The sequence below is a fragment of the Homo sapiens genome, chromosome 3 (assembly GCF_000001405.40).
Source record: "Homo sapiens chromosome 3, GRCh38.p14 Primary Assembly".
NCBI classification, from domain to species: Eukaryota; Metazoa; Chordata; class Mammalia; order Primates; family Hominidae; genus Homo; species Homo sapiens.
The window spans coordinates 936789-958487 of record NC_000003.12 but is presented as its reverse complement, the minus strand read 5'-3'; the positions used below and the strand labels follow the sequence as shown (position 1 = coordinate 958487).

At 36.9% G+C, this 21699-nt stretch overlaps 1 long non-coding RNA gene across 2 annotated transcripts in view; it reads right to left on the bottom strand.

The window, feature by feature from the left end:
• The window catches only part of LOC107986059 (uncharacterized), a 125190-nt gene that overhangs the window by 45032 nt on the left and 58459 nt on the right, over nt 1-21699 (bottom strand). For both annotated transcript variants that reach the window (XR_007095784.1, XR_001740585.2), the window contains exon 4: nt 829-900. This is a non-coding gene — a long non-coding RNA (uncharacterized LOC107986059). The remainder of the gene's footprint in view (nt 1-828; nt 901-21699) is intronic.

Genomic DNA, 21699 nt, shown 5'->3' with positions numbered 1-21699 from the left:
CTGATGCTTTGACCCCTTTTATAGATCAGAGTGCTCTAGAATAATGGATGGTCTTGGATGGTGGATAAATAGGGAAAGGGACAGTTAAATTGGGAGTCTTCTTACAACCTTGATGGGCTTTTTCCCCCCAAGTTTCCTTCTCCACTGAAATGCCACACCAATGCTTGTTGGATTCATGAGGGGGGCAGACCAATGTGCTGTTTTTCTTTATTTTTTTTTTAAGCTTCCCTTGAGAGAACAAATGGTAATGGAGAGAACTATTTAACAAAGTCCTGGTTTCCCTTGCAACACAGTAGATAAACTTGCCTGCTTTTATGTGCATTTTTGTAGGGATCAGCTTTGTAGACAGTATTAGCAGAGAAACGACACCTTGATCTTGGTTTGCAAGCCCTTCTCCCATCAGTCCTAGATTAGGCCCTGTTCAGCCATGCAGGGGTGTTGGTTTATGCGTGCTGCAGCAGTGGGCATAATGAATATAATTTACCCAGAGGACAAAGGTGTGTACCAAGTGAATTAAATAATTGCTGTGGATTGGCCAGTAGCTAAGAAGTGGGCTTTTAAAGAGTGTTGAAGATTGAAAAGTTTTTGTTTTATTTTTTTTTTAAAAGAAAAAAAACATTGGTTGTAGATAATGAAAAGCTAGGGTTTGCCCTCTTCATGTCTACTCTCCTTCCAAATAGTTATATCCAAAACTGTTTTCCCCCTCCCCTACTTTGTCCTCCCTTTTAAAATAGAAACAGGGATTGATTAATGTCCGGCTCCTGAATACATGTAAAATTTGTACAAAAATATCTTCCATGAAAATGATTTAATCTGTAGACTTATTACCTGGGAGATGTCTTGACGTAAAATCCCATCCTTTGGGTTGTCGGTGTTTTGTTTTCTCCAAATAAATCTGATCTATAAAGTTTAAAAAAAAATCAAATTATTGGTTTATGTATTAAAATAGAGTTTCCTTAGAAACTAATTGGCCTTAGCAGAGCAATTCTTCCCTCAAGGCAGGCCTATGTAGGATGCCAGTTAGCAACAGAAGGTTGCTTCATGAGCCCAGGATCAGAACTAAAAGAATGATAAGATCCAAATTTTGTAAGGCACTGGGCTAAAATGTCTGATAATCTTTTCCCATAATAGGAATAACTTTGCCAACTCAATAATAATAGTAAAAAAGTTGATAATATTTTATATTAACCCATGTGCAGTAAAAACTATAGGAAATGGATTATTTCATATAATCAACACAATAAACTAATAATAATTTATACTGTTATTATCCTCAAATTATAACTAAGGAAACTGACACCTAGACAGGTTAAGCAAGTTATCCAGGATTTGAACAAACTGCATTAGACTTCAGATTATTGTGTCTCATCTGCCTTCCTCTGATATAGGAAGCTCATTGGTCAAGGTACTCCCCTCTCTACTAATTAATTCTTTTATGAAAACTTCCAAACTTCACTTTTACAAATCTATTCTTCCAACATTTACCAACACACCTTTTGACAAATATGTGTTTTAGTTTTCAGTTATGTCCTGATGGCAAAGAAGTTGTCCTGTATTTATTATATGAGGCGGCTTATGTCTTGTCCCTTAAGTTTTGGTTTTAAATCTCAGATAGCAACTTAGGTTGAAGTTTTAGGAAGATGCCTCAATATATCCTCCAGGTCCTGGTACCAATACATGGTATTATAATGATCTCTGGTATGGATGTATTATGTCCTCATTGAAATAAAAGTTGCCTATATTTAGGACTCAGGAATTGATTTTTTAACTCCATCTCTAACAATGTGCCTATCAACATTGTAGAAACTACTTGTTGAGAATATCTGTGTGTGTGTGTGTGTGTGTGTGTGTGTGTGTGTGGTTGCAGACAATAGAGACCACCTCTTCCTAGCATAAAAAGAGATTCCTTTGAAAAATACACAGGGTTTTGTAGAAACAGAGGGAGGGTTTGAAAGGTATGCTTAGAAAACACACAGACCAGAGCAGCTCCAGGGGTCTGAGCTGTGGGATTTGATGTGCTGTCCCATCAAGTATTTGGAATGAATCAACTTCTACTATTTCTAATCTTTGTTTCAATCAGATCAAGATGGCCTAATCAGGGCCATGCAGCAGCCATGTGGCAATATACATGTCTGGCTACATTTACTGATATCCCTACCAGGCTGTTGTCAGTAGAGGCAAGGATAGGTCTCTCAGAACTGGAGCTATGCCTAAAGGTGAAGGAATGGGTGCTGACTACAGAAGGACACAAGTCTATGATTCAAGCCAATGTAATAATATAAAACTTTTGGAAATCTGAGCTTGGCTGACATTCTGAGATGATATTAAGCCTTTGGGGGATTTGATATATGAATTCAGAAATCATTTGGTCATGATTACTATGCAGAGTTTCGGGAATGAGTAGAAATCACAGAAGAAGAGGAAAAACAAGACTCAAAAAAAGGGAATTACAATACACAAACTGGGGAACCCACTAATTTTTAGGGAAAAAAAAAGAACAAAACTAAATAGAAAGTAGTAAACCTTCAGAAAACTATCTGAAGTTTTCACTGTGGCCCACCAGTGAATGTTAACTGCCTTTATTAGTAGTAAAAAGAGAAAACAGAATGCCGCGTTTTAGGAACTAAAGAGGTCAGGAAGCTCGATAGGTTCTGTCCTTCATTGATTGAGAAGCGTCCACCTAAGAATCTAATGATTAGATCCACTAGAAGTATGTGGTAAATATTTTTCAGTAAATGAGAAATGCTTAAAAATAGAATGGGTAATAAGGTGAGGCAAGGTTAGGGTAACCTTTCCCTAGGCTGAAGTCAAAGGAATGGAGCTGGGAAATAATGGACTTCTCCCTGCCAGCTGCCAGCTTGCAATCTGTCCTGTTATTTGTTTCAAATTCCAGAATTTGGACATCCCCCATTTTTTTTGTGCTAGAGCCTTTGAGAGAAAAATTCTGAAACTAAACTCAAACTTTTGCATAATCTGTAAACATGTTTACTTTTGGATCTCAGAAGGGAGTTTTCGAATTGAAAATGTATGTCCAAGCCTGTTTTAAAAACAAAACAAAACAAAACAAATACAGTAAGCAAAGGAAAAAGTCAGCTGACAGCAGGATTCCTCTCCCTCATGTGCACTTCCGAAACATTCCCTCCTAGAAGTCAGGAGAACTTCATCAGGATATCTTTGTGTGGAGCTGACAGGGGATCTGTCTGTTGCTTGAATTTCCATCAAAGCAGTTGGTTTCCCACCATCCATACTTCTTATCAAAAAAAAAAAAAAGTATAGAACTAACATAGAGACCAAAACCACTAGCAGAAAATGTTCATATTCCTATTAGATTTTTGATGACATCGGTGAGTTTTTAAGCATAAACTTAGTCTTATAAAAAATGAGTTATGCAAGCTGAGCTCTAGGAGCACATTAATGAAACAAATGCTATTCCCCTTTGAGCCTTTATTACTCGTCAGTTGAAGTTCTATCTATCCTTGCTTCAAGATTCAGTCAAATACCCCCTCTTTCTTAAAATCTGCCCAATCTTGCTAACTGAAACTCATCTCTATCACATAACATTTTTTTCCCTCACAGTCTACATTATCTTCTAGTGCATTTTTTTACATTCCACTAGTTTAAAGCTCCTTGAAGGCAAGTGCTTACATCCAGATTAGTATTTCTAACAGAATCAAGCATGATTCCCTGTGGAATCATGTATTAGGTACCGGGGTATAAAATTGAATTCCATTGCTAAATGATTTTTTTCCAAATCAAGGTAATATCGCTGTGTTTAACTTGGTAAGTTTATTTTCTGAATAATCAAAATCCTACTTACATAACATCTGATGTTAAGGCCCTTGGGGAAACATACTTATACAAACTTGAGGCTTCAAATTAATGAAGATGAAAGGCACATATTTATATCCATTTCTTCCCCTGTTTTCTTGCCCAGATCTACTCAATCTTAACTACGAGATAGCCGAATGCCTAAGCAGATAAAAAGGGAACCCTGGAGAACCTCCGACCTGCTCCATAAGTGTTTACATCAGAGGCTTTGGCACAGATGAGGGAAGCTGCCCAGGGCCTTGCTGGAGCATGCCCACATGTGCACTGGGGGAACAGGGTGGAGCCATGGGCAGGCAAGAGGAGCCTGGTCTCTTCAGTTTCTGTGTGGTGGCCTGGGATTTAATCTGTGAGGTTTTTTCCCTTTTTGCCTAATAAAATCCTGCTCTACTCACCCTTCAACGTGTCCAAATTTTCCTGGTCGTGTGACAAGAACCAGGTTTTAGCTGAACTAAGGCACAAAATTCTGCAACAACTATAGTGGTTGAGTAAGAAAGACCCCCAAAGGCTAACAGTACTGTGCAAATTTACTTCAGTAGCAACCAACACAGAATCCAAAAAGCCTGCTGAAATGATGTCTCTAACAAGCTCAAACCTGACATAATGCAAGCTCTTTGTTTCCATGTTGAGGAAGAGTTATGATACCTCAATATGTAATAAAAACTCTATCTTATTTCCCCATGGACTCCTGGACTTTCAGATTTTGAGAACAGGTAAGAATACTATTTCAAATCAGATCTCTCTCAGTTCATTTTAGAGATCATGAAATTGATGTAGGGAAAAATAATGTAACTATCTATACATATACATGGATATATTTGGCACAAAGCTCCCATAGCAAGAATTTATAAAGATACTCAAAGCCTGACCTTAATTAAGGGCACTAATCAGGTTGTCACCCTCAGCAGAAATGGGATTAATTATGTCCCTGCATTTCTCCCTGGCCAGGTGTCTACTTCCCACCTGATATAATTTCTATATCTCTCATCTGTACCAGACCAAAGTGGTCACCGGTTCCCTGAGAGCTCTCCAACTAGAAAAAGCCTACCTGTCTCAACTGCCATTTAACTCCAGTTGTACACGTCACCTACATCCTGTGCATGTGTCGAAGACCCGGTTAATCTGTACCTTCTGCTAAAAGATCTGTGTCCTCAATCCCTTGTAATTTTAAAGTGCTTTTGGAATGTCAGTCTGTTTTGCTGGAATTTTATGTCAATTATTTTTGGATCCCACAAATTTTACTTTCTACGAATGGCTTCTTTGCCGAGGATTGCTCCTGTCTCTGGACTTTGTTTTATGAGATGGATTAGAGCCCTAGGATTGAGTCTCAGATATTAATGCTTGATAAACACAATTACCTGTAGCATGATAGATTCTGTCTTTCATTCAATTCATTTGTGTTATTTTATGCCTCTCAGCTCAGCTAGAGGTAGTGATTAGATGGACAATGGCTGATTTCTAGTGTGATATCTGTCACTGGGACCATTTAAAGTTTTCAGAGCCCAGAGGCTGGTTAAGGTCAGAGGCAGAGTCTGCTTGCCTCATTAGGCAATTGTCTAACCAGCTTCATCAGTTCTCTGTCTCCAAGTTATTGTTGGAACCGAAGGCTTTAATAATGAACACAAATTGGTTGAACACTGGCCCAATTTATATTGATCACTAATGAAATCCTGGTGCTTTCAAAAGTGCTTCAATAATTAAACTAGGCAAGGCACATACCAGATATTGTTTGCAGGGTGCTTAAAACACTTGAGTAGGATAATTGATGATTAAAACACAAAGGTGCTGTAATTTGTTCCCTAGAATGGGAATTAGAATGCTAAAGAGAATGCACAGGCCCATAAAAGAATGACATTACACATACAAAAATAGGTCAAGATAAAAAAATTATACAAGATAATTCATTATAAACATATATAGAATAAGCTATATTTCAGCAAAATGAATGTCCATTTTAATGAGTGCAAAATAATTAGAATATCCTACATTTCTTTTGTTGGGAAGGGTACTAGAGAAGACAATCGTAAGTTACCAAAAAAAAGCTGTAAAACCACCAGAAAGACACTGGAAACTGAGTGAGGCTCTTAGTAGCAACCAGCAAATATAGTTTCCAGTCATATTTCCCTCCCATGTGTCTTAGATCGTCTTAGTTTCATAGAGTACTATGCCTCTGTGACATTACAGGAGTTGGCTTTCTGAGGTAATCAAGTAAGTCTGCTCTTGGAGAAACTCTACATGGGAGTAGGAGGCAGAGAAAGGAGCAGAAGGATAGGGAATGACACTGGAAGGTATTGCCACAATGGAGGGAGCCATTAGCCATCACCACCATGAAAAGAAAACAAACATCTTTTGCATGGAATGTAAATAGAACAGCCTTGATACAAAGACTGCGAACAGATAGTGCTGAATCTATAGGAGAATAATAAGGGAGGAAAACAGGACTTGTCTTTTTTGCTGAAATTACTACCAAGCCATCAGTAGGCCATATATTTGAAAGTCTCTTACTAGAAGTGGTAACAGGTCTGTCTTCAACCTTGCAAACCCTATATGGCTTCTGCTTTGGCTAAACAACAGCTGTTTGCAAGCTAATAGCCACAATCAGATAATACGCTAACTGCAATATCAGGAGATTAAACTGACAACTATGTTCTCTAAAATCGGCCACTTCCTGGACTGAGTTAATTCCAATATACATACGTACCTTACCTTATGCAAACACACTTTCATTCAAAATAAGTTAAATTTTTCTCCTCTGTCATCACTCCTATTTTATTTTATTATGAGTCATTTTTTGTTTCACTATCTTTATAACATTTACATGATTATAAATTCTCTGATACAGAGTCTACATCTCTTTTGTTCATCACTCTCTAGTACCTAGAATAGCATCTGCTATAGTGTAGGAATGAATAGGTAATTAATGAGTAAATCAGTCATTCTGTAATCAAAATCAAATGGTAGAAAGGTTAATTTTTTAAAAAGATTCTTTCACAGAGAGTAGGAAAATACAAATAATTTGATATTTTAACAATAGGTTTGAAGCTAAAAAGAAATAAAAGGTAATCTGTAAACTCTGTACTAGAGGAAAATAATTTTCTAACTGTAAGCCATGAGAGCCTTGGTTAAGTTTCCAACTAGAAATCACCTTATACTTTATCTGCAGCTCTGTCTGCAGATCATGATGATCGGTAGCCTCCTAAGGCTTTTGAAATATACCAAGCCCCCACACTCCTCAGCACAGCGAACCCCAAATTTATGTCCACTTCAGTCTTTGCCATTTCAGTGATAATTTACTACTTGGGCTGGAGATAATAAGCAAATGCTATATATTTCTGCTCACTTACATGGACAAGGGCCTTCGATGACTAGCATATCATTTATTTTATAATACTGTAGCTCTTGCCAAACATTCTTATCCTCGCACACCATATTTGCACCGGTGATTTAATACAAATCAATATTTTTTTCATTGCCTATTACTTTTTGATCTGAGCACTTAATGATAATTTTTATTTTTCTAAAGGGAGGTTGAAGGTTGAAAAGTATACGTGTATAAGTATAGCGTGTATGTTGGGGGCGGAAGGAGAATGTAAAAGCTTAAAGAGGGCATCTCCAGCTATAATGGAGAGCTTTCGACTTGGCCCTATAGATATGGAAAGAATGCCATTTAATATAATTTTTTTTTTTTACTAATAGTCCATGCTGCTAAATGAATCATATTCCTTAAAAATTCCCATCTACATATCATATGCTAGACCCCCTTTTAAAGGTAATCTTGTTCCAATGTCTAAATAGAGGCAGGAAAACCTCTGTAACAGTCACAAAAAGTTTTCATCTAATTGTAGTTTGAAAACCTCAGCGAATGAGGGCAAAGAACGAAAAAAGGTAATTGCATTAATCCATTCTCACACATCTATAAAGATACTACCTGAGACTGATTTACACAGGAAAGAAGATTAATTGGCTCACAGTTCCACATGGCTGGGGAGGCCTTGGGAAACTTACAATCATGCAGGAAGGAGAAGGAGAAGCAAGGAAGGTCTTCATAAGGTAGCAGAAGAGACAGAAAGTGTGCACATAAGAAACTGCCCATTTTAAACCATCATATCTCGTGAGAACTCCCTCACTATCATGAGAACAGCATGGAGGAACTGCCCCCGTGATCCTGGAACCTGGGAACGTGGGGATTACAATTTGAGATGAGATTTGGGTGGAGACACAGAGCCAAACCACATCAGTAATGGAGTGGAGATGCAGAGAACTGTTCTTGTTTACTTGGTGGACTTTGATGGTTGTGGATTAATCACAAGCACATTCCATCTATCCCCAAATGATATAATGTACACATTATGTCACCATAATATACTCTAGTTTATCTATTTCATCTCTGTTGCTCATGGCCCCTGTTTTCCCTGTCAAACCACTGCAACGCCTCACTTAGCACATGGCTATTGTCTCCCAACACCTAACTGCCTGCTTCCATGCCTATAACCTAACAATTGTTTCTTCATCTGGCCGTCAACTTATATTTTCACAAAATAAATCATCTCATGTCCTTTTCCTGCTAAAAACAATTCAGTGACTTTCTATCTCATGCCAAATCAAATCCAAATTCCTAAGGACTAGTATATTGCCTGGCTTCTTCTTATCTTCCCAAGCAGCCAGTGTTCCCATGTCTGCCCTCCTGCCAAACATAATGTCCCTGCCTGAAGGCTCTGCATAATTGGTGACTTCAGGCTGTAAATCTCTCCTTGACTTCCATTAGCTGAAACCCATACTTCTCCACAGAAGAGCTTAACTTCTACTAGCCTATAGAGTATTGACACCCTTAATCTACACGGTCACTTTCTGTCCTATTACTCTGTTTACCTTCAGAGATTTCCTTACTATCTGAAACAATTTTATTTGTTCACAGATTCATTTATTTTCTTGTGTGTTTGTTGATTTTCAATCTTTGAATCTAAAATATAAACTCTGTAACACTAAGTCAGGTCCAATTTTCCTTCTCAAGCAAACTCCAGTTGTCCAGAAACATTCCTGACTTATAGAAACTGATCAATAAGTCCTTGTTGATTGCATAAAGAAGTGAAAATTCTAGTTCAATATAATAAGCTTCTGATGATCAGAAATTCTTTATTGTGAAATGAGCTATTAGGGAAGTAGTAAAACTCATGGTATTTGGGCCTTCTAACCTCTGAATTCTTGTATTTTTTAGCATAGCAATGACACTCATCACATTGTAGTAAAACTCATAGTTTGCATGTCATTTTTACTAAACCTTGGCAGTGTGAAGGCATCAGCTGCGTATAATTCACTTCTGAATCTCCTGCGACTATCACAATAGAGACATTTCTCTGTAATTATATATGTTATTAGGAAACCTCATATTCTGCATAATAGTAGGCAATGATAAAGAAAATCTTATGTAAATGTTTTAACCAAAGCACAAGCAAACACAGTAATAAGTTTCTGCAGAGCTAACTTAGACCACCTAGGCAGGCAGCTTAGTGTAGCTGAAGGTTGCCACAGATGATTTTAGTAATTCACAAACAACATTAGTTAAGAAGATTTGGCCAGTACTGAGTCCAAATCGATGAAAATGGAGATCTCAGAGAGTGGGGCTGCTGGTGAAGTAAACCTGGAAGATAGTGCAACTTACCACTGGCTGAACAAAACTGATGGTGAACTTGGCTGGGAAGGAAGCTCCAACTGCTTGCACTTAGTTGGAATGTTCTGAAAGGACTCCCACTGCCAGGGCAGTAGCTAAGATGATGGCTTTTTCCTTTCCCACTGAAGGTTGTAATCTATTCACACTCATCTGGCTACTTTGGCTTATGAAAATCACAGGTAAACCAATGAAATTTTGTATAATACAAACATTATTCCTTTACTTGTGGATCTTATTTGAGCTAATTTGAATCACAGAAATGTGTATAGTGGCAGAGTAACTGACACTTGGTACATAGTGCTGCTTAGCAAATGGTGGTTGACTGAAAAAATGAAAGAAGACAAGGAAATTTGGCATAAAGAATATCTTCACTAGTTTCTTTTTGGCAGTCAACAGTATTTGAAAAATAAAAACAGAACATGTAATCGCTTCATCTCGGGATAATGGAGTATGGTAATAGACTCATGATCTGAGAAGTTTCATTTGGATATGAATATTGCAATATATATCTTTCATTGGGGTTTTATCCTATCATTTTGACATCCTCATAAAGAAATTTAAATTCTAAAGACACTTGAATTTTATTTTAAATTTCTGAAGACTAATCTCAGTGTTGTTAATATTTTAAAAGTTTTCCTGCTCCTTTAGAAAATGGCATACTTCTATATAATTAATATCATGAACACTACGGCTAGTGATGGTTTTTAAATGTTAACCTAAATATTATAAACTAATCCTTTTGTGAATGTTCTCACCTGTTTTGCAACTGCTCTTAATAAGATACGACTGATTAAATCATGATGGATGATGCCCCTTTATTGTTGACCTTTCAAATTATGAATTGGCTTCACATTCAACATGTTGATTAAACACCACTCTTCATTATTAAACATTCTTATGTAAAAACTATGCTATATCAAATCTATACATAAGTTTTATAATTTAATAGGTGAGTTGTTTGTAAGCTAATTAAATATATGAAAATCTAGAAGGAAAAATTAATATCAAAAAGTAGGTGTAGGTCTATAAACAGCCACCACACGTTCTTCTAGGTTGAGTGATTTGTGTTAATGAGTGGTAGGGATAATACTTTAAAATACCTTTCAATCAGTGCTATGTTTCAAATGAGAGATTACAAATTAAAATAACCAAAATGAAGGTTGTATAGAGCTTCTTTGTCATCATGTCATCAATGATACAACATTGACTCATAGATTCTTGCAGTGGAAAAGAATATTGTAACTCACTGATTAGAAGACTATCTAATTAATCACTCCCATTTATAAAACTGTTAATACATGTATATTTCAGTACCCTTTGGACACCTCCATGAATGGAAAATTGATTATAAAGCATCATATTCCATTTTCTAATACTTCAACCTGCTCTAAAGCTGACCTGAATCTGTGACCTTGCAACTTTCATCCTGACAGTCACAAAAATAAACTGAATTCCAAAAAAAATGACAATTCATCTTCTAAGTAATTATTCCATTAAGAATTACCCACTAATTTTTTCTCTTTTTCTTGTGCATAAATAAGTCTTCTTTATTTTTTTCAACTATTCCTCATAGATATTGGTTTACAGAGTCTTTCTCTTCTTGGGGATTCTTATGTAAGCACACCCAACTTTTAAACATACCACTTAATGTCTTGCCTACAATTAAACACAGTACAATCAACTCTTAATAATGTAGAAAGCTTTAGTTCTAGAAATCACTATGTATATAAAAGTATATACAATGGAGCACTGTAAAACCTATTTTTATATTTTTCACAGTGGCAAAACAACGTTTACACCTCACCAGTAGCCACATTAGAACAGAGTGTAAAAAGTGTAACTTAGACAACAGAATTCTGCAAGTAAATGAGGAGTGGACAAATGCTGTGGAGCCCACACTGTCCAAACTGAGACTGAGTAGTAGCCAGATGTAACCCAACTTAATCAAAGCCATGGGAGATAAAAACACATATTTCTCAAGCTGATGGCACACTAGGCATGATCTTTCCAGTCTGGAATGGAGTGGAGCTAGTACAAGCTCTCATTGGCACTTCCCAGAGGAAGGCAAGATTCAATATATTCACATTCTTGCTGTTTGCAGTCTTGTTACAACATCAACTCATGAGTTTGCAGCCAAATAAAATCTTTTCTCATACAGATGGCTATTAGATTCTATTTTCCCCACTCCAGCTTTTTGTTGTTGTTGTTTGTTTTCCTTTACTTATTTAACTCTTCTTAAGTTTAATATGTTGAGTCTTACTATATTTTATTAAGTTCACATTATCATTTCAACATGTTGATAAGGAATTGGATCTTAATACTGCCATTCAAAGTTGTTTTTTTTTTTGTTTGTTTTTTTTTACTTTGTTTAGAGGCATTCAGGAACATGTCAATGTCCTTAGCTAGATCATTGGTAAAATTGGAATCATTCAAGAAAAACATAGAGATCTGCTTGGGACTCGAAAATAATCAAGATCTACCTATCACATCTACTTTCAGTACAAATATAATGTTGATATTCTTAAAAGGTGAGTGGTCTGGGAAAAATAAATTAAGACAGGGTTAAATATAATCTGTCAATTGTCCACTAGTTCCATTATGAAATTTATACAATTTTATGTTTTATTTTGCTCATGTTTTCTAGATATATCTGTTGCCTCATCCTCAGATGATTTCATAGCTCGCATTTCTTCCGAAAAGACTTCTTATGTGATTTCTATGTATTTGATGCTCCTGATTCTCATTCTCTTATCAAGTATATCACAGTGTACTAGTGACAGTTGACCATCAGTAGGTGTCACATGAGCCATGCATAATTATACAGACTTCTCAGTGAAATCATTTTTCCTTATTAGCTTTACCAGGCGTGTCAGAAGTAAATGCTTTCCTATGCTTTCCAATGAAGCAGAGAAAGAGCTCCTGAAGGGTAAGATAGTTTTGACAGCATTATTCATTTTTTTCAAGCCATAAGCACTGAAAGAATAGACAAACAAATAAACAAAACCTGTCAGGTTGGCTGTCACATATAATTAGACTCTAATGGCTGCTATGAGACCTCAGTTTATTTCTAGCACAATGAGCTGGAGCAGCACTTCCCTGTGATCGTGCCAGTGGTGGATTTAACAGACCAGGCATGGAAACCTGATTTATGAGAACTGTTTTCTCTTTTCACACCCAAAGAACTTGCCAAACACTCTTCTAATAAAGATGGCCCAGGAATTAAGGTTTGGTGCACAGCAATAGAACAGGTATGGCTTTCAGAACTCAGGAGCCCAGCATTCTTGTCTTTGCTCTGCTGCTAGTGGGTTCGGTGATTTTAGGCCAATCTTGAGGTATCTCCATTTTCATATCTTCAAAATGAGGGGCTTAGACTGAGTGATCTCTTCTCAGGACAGCTTTACATTCTATTTCTCCCTTCCTTATCTGGCAGCCTTAAAATCAATTTGGTGTTAAACAGAGAATATTCAATTGATTCCAGTTTTACTTTGCCTTTTATTGGACATTTTATCTGTGGTGGAAATCAATGTTATTTTTGTTCTTAATCTAGGGATATTAGAAGCTAGAATGGAAAATTAGGAGCAAAAGTTGATTAGAAAAAGGAAAAGATTCAAAGATGCTATTTTCCTTAGATTAAGCACAATTGGAAGTAAAAATGCTTCTACTATATACCTAAGTGAATTTAAATGTTTAAAATCTGTAAAGCCAAAGCCATCTCATTCCTCCTTACTTGCTAGTATTATGCCTTGCTGGTCATTTGATCCAAAGAGGCCTATGAGGGCTGATTGTTAAATTTTCAGGAATTTTGCAAGCCATATTATAAACAGATATGATTAAACATCAAACTATATTAATGAACAATTTAATTACATTAAATGCAAAATAATTAAAGCTCAAAATTCATCCTTTCCAAATATATTATTACCTCTTACTATTGCCTATGCTTTTGAGTTTGTTTGCATTGATTATATCTTAATATTAGAAATCCTATAGAATGTTTTGCTATTGCACAATCTCAAATTTACATTCAATGGTGTCAAGTGGGTACCAGGAAATTGGATATATTGGGAGTATTTACTCCGTGGAAATAGGCCAATGCTATAAATGAAGTCTTGAGTTATTGCTTTGTTGCTTATTTTTTTAAAGTAATTTTTTATATGAAGATTTTTTAAAAGTTTTTTTCTGCAGTGAAATTTCAGTCTTTGAAGTCAGGTACATTTTTCAAAACTTTCCAGTATGTCAACAGTTTTATTTAGTCTTCATCACAGCCCTGTAAGATGTGTACTGTTTTCAAATGATATCCTTTCAGATAAGGAACCTGAGACTTAAAACAAGTGAATGTCCTTCTCAATCTCACTCGGCTAATAAGTCCCAGGGGTCTTGGGACTCCAAATTCTTTGCTCTTTTTGTTCTTTTAACTTTTATTTTAGTTTCAGGGGTGTAGGTCCAGGTTGGTTCTATAGATAAATTGTGAGTCACAGGGGTTTGGTTTACAGATTATTTCATCACTTAGATAATAAGCATAATACCTGATACGTAGTTTTTTGATTCTCACTCTCTTCCCACCCTCAACCCTCAAGCAAGCCCAAGTGTCTATTGTTCCCTTCGCGTCCATGTGTACCCAATGTTTAGCTCCCACTTGTAAGTGAGAATGCAGTATTTGGTTTTTTATTTCTGCATAAGTTTGCTTCGAATAATTTTCTTCACCTTCATCCACATTGCTGCAAAGGACATGATCGCATTCTTTTTTTTTTTTTTTTTTTTTTTTGAGATGGAGCCTTGCTCTGTCACCTAGGCTGGAGTGCAGTGGTGCAGTCTCGACTTACTGAAATCTCTGCCTCCCAGGCTCAAGCGACTCTCACGCCTCAGCTTCCTGAGCAGCTGGGATTACAGACATGCACCACCATGCCCGGCTAATTTTTGTATTTTAGTAGACACAGGGTTTCACCATGCATCATGCCAGGCTAATTTTTGTATTTTAGTAGAGACAAGGTTTCACCATGTTGGCCAGGTTGGTCTCCAACTCCTGACCTCAGGCGATCTACCTGCCTGGGCATCCCAAAGTGCTGGAATTACAGGCATGAGCCACCGTGCCCAGCCTGCATTCCTTTTTTATGGAAGCATAGGATTCCAGGGTGTATATATATGTACATTTTCTTCATCTGGTTTACTGTTGTTGAGCATTTAGGTTGATTTCATGCCTTTGCTATTGTGCATAGTGCTGTGATGGACATACATGTGCAACTGTCTTTATGGTAGAATAATATATATTCCTTTGGGTGTATATATCCAATAATGACATTTCTGCCTCAATTGGTTTTAGGTTCTTTGAGAAATTGCCAAACTGCTTTCAACAGTGGCTGAACTAAACTACATTCCAAACAAAAGCATGTATATAAGCATTCCCTTTTCTCCATTACCTTGCCAACATCTATAGTTATTTTGATTTTTTAATAATAGCTATTCTGGCCGGTGTGAGATGGTATCTAATTGTGGTTTTGATTTGCATTTCTCTAAGGATTAGTAATGCTGAACATTTTTTTTCGTATACCTGCTGGCTGCATATATGTCTTTTTTGGAAAGTGTATGTTCATATCCTTTGCCTAGTTTTAATGGGGTTGTATTTTGCTTGTTAATTTGTTTAAGTTCTTTATAGATTCTGGATATTAGACTTTTGTTGGATATGTAGTTTGCATTTATTTTCTCCCATTCTATGGGCTATCTCTTTACTCTATTTATAGTTTCTTTTGCTGTGCAGAAGCTCTTTAATAATTAGGTCCCATTTTTCAAGTTTTGTTTTTGTTGCAATTGCTTTTAGCATCTTTGTCATAATATCTTTTCAAAGGCCTAAGTCTAGAATGGTATTTCTAGGTTTTCTTCAAGGGTTTTTATAGTTTTAGGTTTTACATTAAAGTCTTTAATCCATCTTCAGTTGTTTTTTGTATATGTTATAAGAAAGAGGTCCAGTTTCAATTTTCTATATATGGTTAGCCAGTTATCCCAACTCCATTTATTCATAGGAAGTCCTTTCTTCACTGCTTGTTTTGTCAACTTTGTCAAAGATCAGATTGTTGTAGATGTGTGGTTTTATTTTGGGGATCTCTATACTGTTACATTGTTCTATGTGTCTATTTTTGTATCAGTACCATGATGTTTTGGTTACTGTAGCCTTGTAGTATAGTTTAAATTCAGGTATTGTGTTGCCTCCAGCTTTGTTCCTTTTGCTTAGGATTTCTGTGGTTATTCCAGCTCATTTTTTTGGTTCCATGTGAATTATAGAATAGATTTTTCTAAATCTGTGAAGAATGGCCTTGACTGGTAAGCATAACATTGAATCTGTACAGTGCTTTGGGCAGTATGGCCATTTTAATGATATTGATTCTTCCAATCAATGAGCATGGAATATTTTTCCATTTTTTTGTGTCATCTCTGATTTCTTTTAGCAGTGTTTTGTAGTTCTACCTGCAGAGATTTTTCTCCTCCTTGGTCAGCTATTTTCCTGTATATTTCTCTTTTTTGTGGCTATTGTAAATGGGATTGTGTTCTTGATTTGCCTTTCATCCTGGACATTACTAGTGTATAGAAATGTGACTGACTTTTGCACATTGATTTTTTTATCCTGAAATTTTCTAAAGTCGTTTTTCAGTTCTAGAAGGCTTTATGCAGTCTTTATGTTTTTTCAGGTACATGATCATATTGTCAGTGAAGAGAGATAGTTTGACTTCTTCTTTTCCTATTTGGATGCCTTTCATTTCTTTATTTTGCCTGATTACTCTGGCTAGGACTTCCAGTACTATATTGAATAGGAGTGGTGAGTGGGCACCCTTTGCAGGTTTTAGGGTAAATGGTTCGAACTTTTGCCTATTCAGTATGATGTTGGCTGTGGATTTGTAATATATGGTTCTTATTATTTTGAGGTATGTTCCTTTGATGCCTATTCTGTTGAGTATTTTTTATCATGAAGGCATGTTGGGTTATATCGAAAGCTGTTTCTGCGTCTATTGAAATGATCATATGGTTTTTGCTTTCAATTCTGTTTATGTGGTCAATCACATTTATTGATTTGCATATGTTGGACCAATCTTGCATCCCAGGGATAAAGCCTACTTGATTGTAGTAGATTGGCTTTTTGATGTGCTGTTGGATTTATTTATTCTAAAAACAAACAAACAAACAAACAAAAAAACAAGGACTTTTTGGAAAGAATTTCATTGAAGATTTTTGCATCTATGTCCATGAAGGATATTGGCCTGAAGTTTTCTTTTTGTGTGTGTGTGTCTCTTTCCAGTTTTGGTATCATAATGATGCTGGCCTCATAGAATGAGTTAGGGAGGAGTCCCTCTTCCTCAACTTTTTGGAATAGTTTCAGTACAAATGGTAATAGCTCTTATTTATGCATTTTGTAGAATTCAGCTGTGAATCTGTCTGATCCTGGGCTTTTTCTGGTTGGTAGGCTTTTTATTACTGATTCCGTACTTCAACTCATTATTGGTCTGTTCAGGGTTTGAATTTATTACTCATTTAGTCTTGGGAAGTTATATCTTTCTAGTAAGTTATCCATTTCTTGCAGGTCATATATTTTGTGTGCATAGATATGTTCATAGTAGTCTCTGATGGTTTTTTTTATTCTTGTGGGGTCAAAGGTTATGTTCCCCTTTGTCATTTCTGATTTTATTTATTTGAATCTTCTCTCTTTTTTATTTGTTAGTCCAGCTAGTGGTCTATGTTATTTATTCTTAAAAAAAAAAAAACAACCTCTGATTTTGTTGATCTTTTATTTATTTATTTATTTTTTTTTTTTTGAGACGGAGTCTCGCTCTGTCGCCCAGGCTGGAGTGCAGTGGCGGGATCTCGGCTCACTGCAAGCTCCGCCTCCCGGGTTCACGCCATTCTCCTGCCTCAGCCTCCCGAGTAGCTTGGACTACAGGCGCCCGCCACTACGCCCAGCTAATTTTTTGTATTTTTAGTAGAGACGGGGTTTCACCGTTTTAGCCGGGATGGTCTCGATCTCCTGACCTCGTGATCCGCCCGCCTCGGCCTCCCAAAGTGCTGGGATTACAGGCGTGAGCCACCGCGCCCGGCCCGATCTTTTGTATGCTTTTTCACATCTCAGTTTCATTCAGTTTGGCTCTGATTATCGTTATTTCTTGACTTTGCTAGGTTTGGGGTTAGTTTGCTCTTGTTTTTCTAGTTCCTCAAGGTGTGATGTTGATGTTAGGCTGTTAATTTGAGATCCTTCTGCCATTTTTGATATGGGTGTTTAGCACTATAAACTCTCCTCTTAACACCATTTTAGCTGTGTCCCAGAGGTTCTGGTATGTGCTATCCTTGTTCTTATTAGTTTCAAAGAATTTCTTGATTTCTGTCTTAATTTCATTGTTTACCAGAAGTCATTAAGGAGCAGGTTGTTTAATTTCCATGTAATTGTGTTGTTTTGACCAATCTTCTTGGTGTTGATTTCTACTTTTGTTGTGCTGTGATCTGAGAGTGTGGTTGGTTCAGTTTCTTTTTTGATTTGCTGAGAAGTGTTATATGGCTTACTGTGTGGTTGATTTTAGAGTATGTGCCAAGTGCAGATAAGAGGAATGTATATTCTGTTGTTATTAGGTAGAGAGTTCTGTATATGTGTGCAAGGTCCATTTGGTCAAATGCTGAGTTCAGATCTTGAATATCTTTGTTAGTTTTCTGCCTTAATGACCTGTCTAATACTGTCAGTGGAGTGTTGAAGTTTCCCACTACTATTGTATGGTTATCTGAGTTTCTTCATAGGTCTCTAAGAACTTATTCTATGAATCTGTCTGCTCTTGTGTTGTGTTATGTCTTCTTGCTGAATTGAACCCTTTGCCATTATGTAATGTCCTTCTTCTTCTTTTTTGATCACTGTTGGTGTAAAGTCTGTTTTGTCTGAAATTAGAATGGCAGCCACTATTTTTTTGTTTGTTTTCTATTTGCTTGGTAGGGTTTTCTCCATTCCTTTACTTTGAGCCTGTGAGTGTCAATGTATGTGAGATAGATCTCTCGAAGACAGCACACAGTGAGTCTTGCTGCTTTATCCAACTGGCTCCCCTGTGCCTTTTAATCAGGGCATTTATTCCATTTACAATCAAGGTTAACATTGCTATGTTGTGGATTTGATCCTGGATATTATGCAGACTTGATAGTGTCATTGCATTATATTATCAATAATCTATGTACTTATGTGTGTTTTTATGGTGGCAGATAATAGTCTTTTTTCTCCATATGTAGCCCTCCCTTAAGGACCTCTTCCAAGGCAGGTTGAGTGGTTATGATTTTTCTTAGCATTTGCTTCCTGAAAAGAATCTTATTTCTCCTTCACTTATGAAGCTTAATTTGGCTGGATATGAAATTCTTGATTGGAGTTTCTTTTCTTTAGGGATCCTGAATACAGGCCCGCAATCTCTTCTGGCTTACAGAGTTTCTACTGAATGTTCTGCTTTTAGCTTTATGGAGGTACCTTTGTATATTACCTGCCCCTTCCCTATAGCTGCCTTTAATATTTTTTCTTTCATATCACCTTTGGAGAATATGATGATTATGTGTCCTGGGGATGGTCGTCTTGCATAGTATCTTACAGGGGTTCTCTGCATTTCTTGAATTTGAATGTTGGCCTTTTTAGCAAGGTTAGGGAAATTTTTGTGAACAATATCCTCAAATATATTTTCCAAATTGCTTATTTTCTTTCCCTTTCCTGCAGTGATGCCAATGAGTCATAGATTTGGTCTCTATCTAATCCCATATATCTTGGACATTTTGTTCATTCCTTCTTATTCTTTTTTCTTTATTTTTGTCTGACTTAGTCTGAAGAACCAGTCTTTGAGCACTGAAATTTTTTTCCTTAGCTTAGTTGATTCCTGCGGTTAATATGTGATTATATTATGAAATTATTATAGTGTGTTTTACAGCTCTATCAGATGAATTTGTTTCCTTCTTAAAATAGCCATTTTGTCTTTCAGCCCTGTTATTTTATTGTAATCCTTAGATTCCTTGGGTTGGGTTTTAATTTTCTCTTGAATCTTGATGATCTTCATTCCTATCCATATTCTGAATTCTATGTCTGTCATTTCAGCCATTTCAGCCTGATTGAGAACTTTTGCTGGGTAACTAGTGCAGTTGTTTGAAGGAAATAAGCCACTCTGGCTATATGAGTTGCCAGAATTCTTTCTCTGGCTCTTTCTCATCTGTGTGGGCTGATGTTCCTTCAATTGTGTTGGAATTTGTGTTGAAGTCAGTTGACTTCATTTCTGGATGTTTCCCGAGGGACGAGGCTTTGTGCAGCGTCTCCATTTGTAGCTGAATTCTTGTCCTTGGTTTCACAGGACAGGGATTGCAGTGGATTGGGGGTATATTGGAAAAGTATTTTTGGTGTTGAAGTTTGGGCTGTGATCTAGTAGATGGTGCTTAGGTGTAATGGCCATGTTGTAGGCTCACGCTCAGCAACATGACTTCTTTGTATTTCCTCACAATTGCAGCCATGATACCCTCTCAGTGCTCAGGAAGTGTAGGCTTCTATCTCACTTGAGTGCTGGATGCAGATCTTGGCTTGGTCCTCCTTGGCTGCACATAGCAGCCCTGGGGTAAGCTCGGGCCTTATGTTCCTTCCTCAGCAGGTCCTTAGCAGCGGTAAGAGGCAGAGGTCCTTTTAATTGGGCTCTCTCCCAGAGAAATGCAGAGCCACTACCAATGAAAGTGATCAGCCTATGCCGGGGGGCCCTCCAATTGGTAGTGGGCTTTCGGGGGCTATTACTCACAATTTCCTATAGTGGAAAGCCTCCCCTTGCTCCATGCCAATCCTGGGTGGGCAACTGTCCTATGTTGCTCCTCTCTGACCTGTGTAGGTCATATTGCTTCTTTGATGAATCCCAGCATGTCTACCTGCATATCCAGCTGAAGGGCCAGCCTTTACTTGCTACTCTTTCTCCTCTGCATGAGAGTGGTGCACATCAGCTGCTTCTAGTCAGCCAGTCTTGGCACTCTCCTGTCGCTTGTTTAGACTTAAGCGTGTTGGAGAAAACATTAGTAATAGAGATTAAAGTTAAAAGTATATCATATCAATAGCTGTTACATTGTAAATAGTGCAAAAAAATTGAGGAAATATTCTGGTATTCAGAAGATTTGGGAAAAAGCTTACTCACACTAAGTTTTTATATATGTGTTCATTGGTTCACTGCGTATCACTCATTAACTACGAGGAAAATATCTATCACCATTCTTGTTGGAACTACACTTGTGAATTGCAACTATATTTTGGCTATGGATAAAAAAGCATGGAAAAAAAATCAATGGAAGCACGCACACTGTGTAGATCATTTGGCTATACAAAATTGACAATAAAGAATACTTTATATATTACTATTATTATTTATAGTGTCCCACAAATCTTTTATATCAATAAAATGTATAATACACTTATATATGTACACACATTCTCTCCCGTCCCAGATAGTGATTTGTTAAATATCTATCAGCACACCACTGACTTTTGCCCTCGAAAGTGAATCTGAAATCATTAGAAACCTTCTTTCACAATTTTTCTTGCAGACAAGTATGGCAATTTTATTATGGTTCTGGCCAATTACACTAAAGTGATCTTGGTTGAAGGCCTCTGAGAAACATATTCTATTAATTGGTAGAAAGAAAGGGTTGTATGAGAAAAAAGTCCCTGATTCTTCTTTCCTGCCTTAGACATTTTTGTGGAAAAACTTGATGCTCAGTTTCAATAGCTATCTTGTGACCACGAAGGGAAGACTAAAAGAGTCATGCAGAAGTTACCTGGAGCCCAGGTATCATGAATTTACTAAAATCATCCCTGGTGTTACATCTCTCTGCCCTCCTTCACCTCTTCCTCCTCTTCTTTCTTCTTTTTCATTGGGTCCAGTGACCCCTTTCATTATTATTAGTAGTAATTTTGATGAAATACATGTAACATAACATTTACCAGCCTATTTTAAATGTAGAGTTTGGAGGCATTAAGTACACTCATATGTACACTACACTACACCCATCTACCTCTAGAACAATTTTCATCTTGCGAAACTGAAGCTCTGAACCCATTAAGTAGTAACTCACTGTTTCTCTCTAACTTAAGCCCCTGGGAGCAACCATTCTACTTCCTGTTTCCATAAATTTGACTACTCTCTCTCATAAGTGGAATAATATGGTATTTGTTTTCTATGACTGGCTTTTTCACT